Below are 9,694 nucleotides of genomic sequence, written 5' to 3'. Positions count from 1 at the left end.
AGACCATCCCGGCTAAAACGGTGAAACCCCGTCTCTACTAAAAATACAAAAAATTAGCCGGGCGTAGTGGCGGGCGCCTGTAGTCCCAGCTACTCGGGAGGCTGAGGCAGGAGAATGGCGTGAACCCGGGAGGCGGAGCTTGCAGTGAGCCGAGATCCCGCCACTGCACTCCAGCCTGGGCGACAGAGCGAGACTCCGTCTCAAAAAACAAAAAAAAAAAAAAAAAAAAAAAAAAAAAACATGAATTATTTATATATAGTTTTAAAGAATAAAATAATTTCTTTTTAAAAAGGATCAACCCAAGACCTTTGGATTAAAGGGGAATTGGGAGAGCCAGGACAGGCACTAGGATGGACCATTCAGAGGTCTAGATCCAGCATGGAGTCAGTGAGGGTGAGAAGACTTCAGCGGAGAGGGAGATGGAAAGAACCAAATCTGCCAGCATGAGGGCTCAGGCAGGAGGGTAAGTCCCCCCATCTTAGGGGAAGCCAGCGCTAGGGAAGTGAACGTACCCATCAAAGCCAGGGATGACGCGCCAGCCAGGCATTTGGTAGAGGGATGGGGAGCGCGTGCTCGGCACACAGACAGATTTTCAGTAGGTGGCTGAAAGACACGAGGGGAAAGATTGTGTAACTGAGTTGTGGGGAAGGAGAACAGTGGCCTATTGTTGGAGACCTAATAAACAAATTGAGAGCGTTCATCTTGCGGGTGTGGGCCTGAAATAAGTTCCGAGACAGCTTAATGATCCATCACAGGTTCTTTCCTAGGAGTGAGTCACCAGCACATTTTATTAACCCAGTTCACCCTTCGTTGCCCCAGCGCCTGCAACAAAGCAACCGAGATCCCGCAGCTGAGCCGCTCCCATCATGAAGCCTCTGGCCTACACAATGGGGAAGATGAAACCAGCCAGCCTCATCAATCGTCCCTGGGCAGGCCAGTCTCCTCTTCAGTCTCATGTTCAGGGTTTGCATAATTAGGCGCCTGATGGAGGCGAATGTCTGCCCCACCGAAGGTCGTCATTGTGCAGCACTCTGTCGGGGAGCTGTGAGGTACACAGCAGCCCGGGCCTGCTCCGAACAGCAGCAGAGCCTGTGAGGAGGAGCCTGGCTTTTGCAGGAGCGCATTAATAAGGTTGGAAACCCGTGGCTTGGGAATCAGAGCCAATCGCAGTCATGTCAGAAATGGAAATAAGAAACTCCTGGATGAAATGGAGGAGCCAGCAACCCTCTAACCAGAGGTTCTGAATTTCAATTTGGGGTCCACTCTGCAAAAGCTGAGGGCTATTGAGCAAATCCTTCAACCCCTCAGTGTCTTTGTTTCCTGGACTGCAAAATGGTGGTGACATACCAGTTCCCCTTATCTTAGAGACCAATCGGTTTACACTTTGAAGAGCTCACGGTGTGTTCAGGGCACTATTCTAAGGGTGTTACATGTGTATTAACTCTATAATCAGCAACAACCCTATGCAAGGTAGGTGCTATGATTATTATTATTATTATTATTATTGTTATTATTATTGTCCCTCGGTTAAAGATGAGATAACTAAGCTATAGGGAATTTAAGAAACTTGCCCAGGCCAGGCACGTTGGCTCATGCCTGTAATCCCAGCACTTTGGGAAGCCGAGCTGGGGAGATCACTTGAGCCCAGGAGTTTAAGACCAACCCTGGCAACATAGCAAGACCCCTATCGCTGGAAAAAAAAAAAAAAAAAACTTAGCCAGGTGTGATTGTGCACGCCTATAGTCCCACCTACTTGGGAGGCTGAGGTAGGAGGATCTCTTGAATCTGGGAGGTCAAGGCTGCAGTGAGCCATGATTGTGCCACTGCACTCCAGCCTGGGAGACAGAGCAAGACTCCGTCTCCGAAAAAAAAAAAAAAAAAAAAAAAAAGGAAGAAAAAAGAGAAAGAAACTTGCCCAAAGTCACACACGATTGTGGAATCCAGGCTTCAGCTTCGGTAGCTGACCTCTAGAGTTCATGCTGCAAACCTTCAAACGCAACATGCACTTCACCTCCTCCATCGGCAGTAAAATGCTTTACAAATAGAACTGGCTTTATTCTTTTCAACGGTTACTGACATTTCCAGAGTGTGGAATTAAGTGCCTTAGGCCCTGCTCACAGCATGTTTGTGGTTGCTAGGGTTATCCTGCAGGAAAGGTTGGGGGTGATGGTTGTGTCTACTGTGTACTGAGGGCCTAATGTCACTTCTTACAAAGCCATGCAAGATGAGGGAGCTGAGACCAGGAGAACTAAAGTGACACCCCACAGCCATGAAGCTCATAAACTGAACATCTGGGATTTGAATTTGAGACTCATCTGATTCCAAACTTTCCACGCAGGGCTTCTTAGACTGTAAGCAGAAGCTAGGTAACATGATAGTTAAGAGTTGGGCTCTAGAAACTGTGTTTGTAGCCCATTTCTGCCACTTCTTAGCTGTGTGACCTTGGGCAAATAACTTTGCCTCTCTGGGCTTTGGTTTGCTCATTTGTAAAATGGAGATGACAATAGTATCTACTCATAAGGTTACGATGAGGTGCATGTGGGTTAACACAAGGAAAGCATGGGTCAGTGGCACATGGTATGCTCTCAATGGTTATTAACGTAACAATGCCAGGCCTGGGGCAAGAGCGTAGTACTTGACTCAAGGTTTGCATTGCTTAGGGGAGGCACGAGACCCAGAAACCAGAAAGATTCACACACAGGTGGGGTATTTTTTCAGGGAAGACCTGACCAGGAGGCAAGCAGTAAAGGAAGAACTTCTGGGAGGGTGGAATGAGGCCCAGGAGACTCAGACACAGATAAATGAGAAAGAGTCCAGTTGGGCCAGGGAGTTAGTGTCGGGGATCCAGAGTTAGGCAGCACCTAGTGCTCCTTCCTAGGGTTGTGCACAATGTTCAGAGGGTCGACAGTGTCGGTAGGGGCCCAACCAGGCAGTCAGTATGAGGGTCTGGAAAGGGTTTGGCAGCAAAGAGTACAGACATGACCACTGGCTAGGAAATTTGAGGCAGGACTCTACTTTCTGGATAAACAAGGGCCAGGGAAGCAATTATGTGAGCTGATCGGGCTGGTATCAACTAGCTAATCTAATGAGCTAAGTATGTTTATTAGAGTAGGAGCTTGGTAACAGGTAAATCTTATTAGTCTTTGTAGACATCACTGCGCCAGGACTATGACCAGGAGAGTGAGGCACTCACCTTAGGCACAAAATTTAAGGGAGTGCCTAAAACACCCAATACTCTAGATAAATAATATTTTAATGCAATATTTTCAACATCCAAATTAGTGCAAAAAATCCATGAGACGCAAAATATCAAACTTTTCAATGAAGACAGAACCTGTATTATTGATTTTTCCTTTTTCCTCAGGCTTCAGTAGGTTCAGCCAGGCACTGCAGACAACGCCTTAAATACACACCTTTTGGTGAGTCAGATAGTGGGCATTTTGGCTTTTATCTTATTTTTTTAGAGATGAGGTCTTGCTATTTGCACAGGCTGGAGTGCCGGGGCTGTTTACAGGCATAATCATTGTGCACTGCAGCCTTGAACTCCTGGGCGCGAGGGATTACCCTGCCTCAGTCTCCTGAGTAGCTGGGACAACAGGCATGGGCCAGCATGCCTGGCTTAATCGTGGGCTATTGATGTATTTATTTATTTATTGAGACGGAGTCTCACTCTGTCGCCTAGGCTGGAGTACAGTGGCTCAATCTCGGCTCACTGCAACCTCCGCCTCCCGGGTTCGAGGGATTCTTGAGCCTCAGCCACCTGAGTAGCTGGGATTATGGGCGCCAGCCACCATGCCTGGATAATTTTTGTATTTTTAGTAGAGATGGGTTTCTCCATGTTGGCCAGGCTGGTTTTGAACTTCTGGCCTCAAGTGATCTGCCTGCCTCAGCCTCCCAAAGTGTTGGGATTACAGGCATGAGCCACCGCACCTGGCCAATTAGGAGTTTTTTAGATGTCAAGTCTCAGGCAGACCTTGGTGCCTTATTGGCAGGAAATTGAAAGCCTATAGGTACTAGGTGGTGGAGGATTTGACCAGTTCTGCCACAGTGGGTTCTTCTAAAGCCAGCTCCCAGGACAGGGGCCATTCTTTCCTTATGAATGACCAAGACCATACTGGCTATTTCAACCGACTAGCGTTTTCTTCCTATTTATAATCAATAGCATCATTTTCAGCATCCTGGTTCTTCTTTTTTATGTAAAATAAAATAAATAGCGTCCCTCAAATCACACTTTTTTTAAAATCACACCTTCTTTAAATCTCATACACCATCTATATGCAGGACTCAGAGATCATCCCCCTTAGCCCCAGGCAGCTTGACTGTCATTTGGATAAAGCTAGGAAAGAATGAAGGATGTAATTGGGTGTTAGTAGGTATGAGAGCTCTGAAGGAGAGGTGCCTGCAAAGTTCCAGGCAAAGTCAGCCTCCAGGTAGGCAGCCAGAGTCCAGGGAACACATATTTGCTGAAGGTTTGTAGAAGTCCATGGGTCAGATTCCCAGCAGCATTGGGAAAAGGGACATTTAGCAGCAGTGACAGAGAGAGTTCGAAATGGAGTTTCCTTCTACCTTAGCGGAGAAGCACTTTCATGAGCTTCCATTTAAGATAGCAACTAATCTCATGATACGACCTGCAGAAACCTGTAGCAAGGGAGCCATTGGAACTGGTATTCAGTGGGATCTGTCAGAGCTCAGAGCTGGGAGGGCCAAATCCAGAAATCTGGCAGACAGTAAGTGGGCAAGAGGTCAAAACAGGGAAGGAGTTCATTAGCACATGCAAAGGCTTAGATTGAGCTTGGCTCAAAGTGCATGCCCTGTAAGTGCCCTTGTGGTGGCTGATGGCAAGGATGATGGTGTTATTTTGGCAGCCAGGATCTGGGTTTCAGGGACAGGATTTCTTAGTTTCTTAGAGCAGAGGTGACCAGACTGGGATTTGATGCTTTATCAAAATTTTTTGGGCAGGATGCGGTGGCTCACGCCTTTAATCCCAGCACTTTGGGAGGCCGAGGCAGGCAGATCACTTGAGGTCAGGATTTTGAAACCAGCCTGACCAACATGGAGAAACGCTGTCTCTACTAAAAATACAAAAATTAGCCAGGTGTGGTGGCGCACACATGTAATCCCAGCTACTCAGGAGGCTGAGGTAGGAGAATTGCTTGAACCTGGGAGGCAGAAGTTGCAGTGAACTGAGATTGTGCTACTGCACTCCAGCCTGGGTGACAGAGTGAGACTCCGTCTCAAAAAGAAAAAAAGAGAAAAAAATTTCCTCAAATCTGGGAACCAATATTGTCAACTTTAAATTTAGCCAAGTGAGGCAATTCCTTTTTTTCTTGGAGACACCATCTCTGTCACCCAGGCTGGAGTACAATGGCACAATCTCAGCTCACTGCAACCTTTACCTCCCAGGTTCAAGCGATTCTCCTGCCTTAGCCTCCCAAGTAGGTGGGATTACAGGTACGTGCCACCATGCCTGGCTAATTTTTGTGTTTTAGTAGAGATGGGGTATCAGTATGTTGGCCAGGCTGGTCTCGAACTCCTGACCTCAGGTGATCTATCCACCTTGGCTTCCCAAAAATACTAGGATTACAGGCATGAGCCACTCACTGCTCCCGACCTAGTGAGGCAATTCAAACAACCAAAAAAAGCCCTATCACCTCCCATCACCATGTCTTCATAAAAGAAAAGCCATCTTATCACCAAAAGTAAAACAGCCATCATATCAGAATTTAAACTAGAAACAAAAATTAACGTTATTAAAAGCTCACTTATGTTTTGTTGTTGTTGTTGTTTCCAGTTTGTAGCTGATGGACAAAAACTTTGTCATGGATCAGCGCTGATGGGTAGAGTTTAGGATGCATTCATGCCCAGGGCTCCTCTGCCCAGGCTTGGGGCTACCTTGTGGGGCTTGGTTGTGAGGACCATGGCCAAGGCTGGGTGGCCAGGGACGAAGTATCTGTCCTGGCCTGAGCACCTGTGCTGACCTAGCCCATCCACGCCATCACAGTGGGCACCTTTGCTGTCCTTCTGGGAATTCTCCCAGTCACTAGTGAGGGTGATAGCTTTCCCACTTCTGGCCCAACCTGCTCCCACTCCATTCCAGGGCCCCCTGGGTCATCTCCCACTTACAGCCCTCCTCTCGCCTTTGGGATCTGACACCTGAACTCGCTTTCTGCAGTTTGCCCTTTGGCATTCTTCAAGGGCTTTGGCTGATCCTGCCTTCTGGCTGCTCCTGCTCCTCCTGCCTGATCCCCACCTCTGGACCCCAGCCTGGGCTGTCCTCAACTGTCTGGAAACTACTCAGAATGTTAGATCTTGAATCACCTCTTGCAGCCACCACAGTGTGGACTCAATCCTTTTTCCATTCATGTTCTCCTGTTCTGCAACTGGGCTGAAATGACTGCATGGCGATGAGGGAGAGAAGACTGAGTCTCAAGTGGGGACGCAATTTGTGGAAAACAATAGGCCCCAGGGCAAGGAGCGAAATGGGCAATTAGCCCAGGTCTGTGTTGAAGTCAGTCTCTTGGACTTACCTGGAAGCTCTCTAAGGCAGGGATATATTCAGATCATCTTTTCATTTTTTTATTTCCTTCCTCCTCCCAACTCTCCATGTTCACCCCTCCCCAAAAAAACTAGTAAAGCTCATTTGCAATATATTTGTTGCTTTGAATTTTTTTTTTTATTTATTATTATTATTTTGAGACACAGTCTCACTCTGTCACCCAGGCTGGAGTGCAGTGGCACGATCTCGGCTCACTGCAAGCTCCGCTCCCCCCTCCCCCACACCTCCCTCAAAGAGGTTTCAGTGTGACAAGGAAGAGGTCACACACACCCAGGGAGCTAGAAGTAACGCAGAAAATACAGACTGCTTCAAGAAAAGTACGAAGGCTGGGCTAAACTGGTTTCACTTCCAAGTGATTGGGTGATGGCCCCTATGGGTCAGCCTGGCCTGAAAAAGAAATCTCCCCATTGGGGCTCCAGCTTGTCCCATTCAGCCCTTAACACAGCTCTGAGCTGAGGCAGGAGTCAGCATCACCAGCACTTTTTGTTTTACAGGGTTTTTTCCCTTCAATTCTCCATTTGTCTTGGTCTGCAGGTGCTCTTCTCCCTGACCCTCCTTTCATATTCATCCTAAATGACAAGACCTTTCCTTAAAAACAAGCATCTTCTCCTCCCATGGCAAGACAAGGCTGCCCTTTGTGTGTTGTTTTCATTAATTTGTTGATACTTGTTTTCAAGCTACATTTTATTGGACTTGTGCTTACTTTGCTGAAGCACAAAGGTTGTTTAAGCAGAAGGGCACAAGAAAGTGGAAAACTCCTGACCTCAAGTGATCCACCCACCTCGGCCTCCCAAAGTGCTGAGATTACAGGCGTGAGCCACCACACCCGATCACGGGTCTTCCTGCTTCTGTGATCACCTTCTCATAACCTTGAGACCACTGCACATTGATGAAGTTCAGTTAATCTACAATGACTGTAGCCATCTGAGTGACCCCAGGTGAGACCAATAGAACTGTCGAACTAGCCAACGCACAGCATTGTGAGAAACAATAAATCATTGTTTTAAGCCATTATGTTTTGTGGTGGTTTGTTACAAACACATAACTAAAACAACCTCAAAATCTGGATAATATGTTAGGGCCTGCCTGGAAAGCTGGCTGCCCCCCTGCTCTTCCTCGGCCCATCGTGGGAACTCTTGGCTATAAACAAATCTTCCCGGAGTGGATAAGTGGTCAGGATTTAAGGTGGTATTCTTCCCAGGTGCTCGTGCAACTTCAAAAAAATAAAATTCTAAGAATGGGATTTCAGGCCCTTATCAAGGACATATTTATGGCCAGGGACCCTCCTGCCTGCTCTTCAGAAACCACATCTTGGCTTCTTCCTTCAATAGCTTCCAGCCACCTGTTAAAGATCTGCCTTTCCCAGATGAGAAGGCAGGTCTAATTCAGAGGAGATTGAGCTGGTTGATAATGCAGAAGAAATTTCAAGGCGACTCTGAAGCACATCTAGGCTTCCTTGTAGCCAAACCAAACGAAATAATCTCAAACCCCAAAATATTACAGGAAAAAAAATAAAATCAAGTATTGCAAAGATGACAAAATGTTGGGTCGGGCATTATAGATCATGCATTATATATAGCAGTTACCTACAGATAGTAAAAAGTCACACCTGTAATCCCAGCACTTTGGGAGGCCGAGGCGGGTAGATCACTTACGGTCAGGAGTTTGAGACCAGCCTGGCCAACATGGTGAAACCCTTTCTTTACTAAAAATACAAAAATTAGCTGGGCATGGTGGCACGCGCCTGTAGTCCCAGCTACTGGGGAGGCTGAGGCAGGAGAATCACTTGAACCCAGAGGTGGAGGTTAAAGTGAGCCGAGATGGTGCCACTGCACTTCAGCCTGGGTAACAGAGTGGGACTCCATCTCAAAAAAAAAAAAAAAAAAAAAAAAAAAAGCAGATGGATTCCAATAGAATTTGACCTCTTCTGAGGTCTTTACATTGTTCTGAAAGGGTCTGTTTGTGTCCATTTCCCTAACTAGACTGTAAGTCTCTTGAAAACAGGGATCATATCATAAAGTATTCATTGGCTGGGCAAGGTGCCTCACACCTATAATCCCAGTATTTGGGAGGCCAATATGGGAGGATCAGTTGAAGCCAGGAGTTCGAGACCAGCCTGGGCAACAAAGTGAGACTGACTATTCTCTATTTTAAAAAAAGAAAAATTTTCATCTTTATGACTCTAGAGCCTAGCACATTAGCACAGGGCTTTGCACAGAGCTGGCACTCAATGAATGCTGTTGAGATAAAGCACAATTTAAGCCCAAAGAGCAGGGTGGGGAGCTTAGAAGTCAATAGGTCCTATGGTTTTGAAATTCTGAAAGATTTGAAATATCAGAGGAGGCAGGAGAGCAGGGGTCTAAGCCCATGGGAAGTGCTGGCCTAGTCTGGTGGGCTCTTGTCTCCCTCAGCCTCACCTCAGGCCAGGAGTTTGTGCCTTCACCTGGGACACTGGTGACGTCAAGGCAGCTGCGAATCCTGAGTGCAGTGCCACCCTGAGCTCCTGTGACCCAGCAACCTCTGCTCAGAGAGAGGAGCCTTTGCCTGGCTTTGGGCAAAATGGAACCTGTCTGTGCCTCAAACCTGGAGCTCTGAAGGCTGAGGACTTCCAACCCCTCAAGTGTACCAAGGCAAAGCAAACAGCTCAGAAGCAGCGCAGGGAGGTGGCACACCCCCAGACACTTGTCAGCTGTGCCGTCAACTCGTCATTCTCACTGATGGGTGCCTGCTCCCTCAAATCCTCCCTCCAGCATCCACCTTTGAGGCTGGGGTCCCGGGTGCTTCAGGGGCTCCCAGACCCCTGCTGGGTGAGTGTGGTGGCCCTGAGGAGTGTGTCTCCCTTTTCTACAACTCTAGCTCTGCCCTATACATCTGGGGACAGGGCCAAGAAAGGGGTCCGTTGAGTCAAATGGACCCAACAAGTCCTGGTCACGGCCTTTCCAACCAGAAGCACCTGCCTGGCCCCTGGAGACCTTGCTCCCTATCTCCAGGAGGAAGGAAAGCAGGGGAGAGGTGGAAAGAGGAAGGGGGTGGGGAAAGATTGCCTAACACACTTTCCCAGGTTCCCCCACTACCTACACAAGGTTCAGTCCTTATTTTGGTATGCAGAGCTCCTCCCAGGCTGAGCTCACCCACAAT

The 9,694-nt window shown here is 47.7% G+C and overlaps 1 long non-coding RNA gene across 2 annotated transcripts, besides 2 other annotated features; it reads left to right on the top strand.

Annotated features, from left to right (window-relative positions):
* Positions 1 to 299: 299 nt before the first annotated feature.
* On the top strand, positions 300 to 7,567 carry LOC105371825 (uncharacterized). Of its 2 annotated transcripts, XR_001752940.2 has the most exons (3): positions 300 to 463; positions 820 to 1,470; positions 5,792 to 7,567. It is a non-coding gene; the product is annotated as an uncharacterized LOC105371825 (long non-coding RNA). The 2 variants fall into 2 exon arrangements; XR_007065847.1 differs by lacking the exon at positions 300 to 463 and having other exon boundaries at positions 818 to 1,470.
* Positions 8,637 to 9,165: an enhancer, noted in NCBI's record as "H3K27ac-H3K4me1 hESC enhancer chr17:48962567-48963095 (GRCh37/hg19 assembly coordinates)". NCBI's record gives its function as "activates a minimal SCP1, AML or CMV promoter by ChIP-STARR-seq in primed H9 embryonic stem cells {active_cell/tissue: H9 hESC(primed)}" and the evidence as "EXISTENCE:reporter gene assay evidence [ECO:0000049][PMID:30033119]".
* Positions 9,166 to 9,694: an enhancer, noted in NCBI's record as "H3K27ac-H3K4me1 hESC enhancer chr17:48962038-48962566 (GRCh37/hg19 assembly coordinates)". NCBI's record gives its function as "activates a minimal SCP1, AML or CMV promoter by ChIP-STARR-seq in primed H9 embryonic stem cells {active_cell/tissue: H9 hESC(primed)}" and the evidence as "EXISTENCE:reporter gene assay evidence [ECO:0000049][PMID:30033119]".

The sequence above is a fragment of the Homo sapiens genome, chromosome 17 (assembly GCF_000001405.40).
Source record: "Homo sapiens chromosome 17, GRCh38.p14 Primary Assembly".
Lineage (NCBI taxonomy): Eukaryota > Metazoa > Chordata > Mammalia > Primates > Hominidae > Homo > Homo sapiens.
Note: the sequence above shows the minus strand (reverse complement) of the source record. Positions and strands in the feature narration are given on the sequence as shown.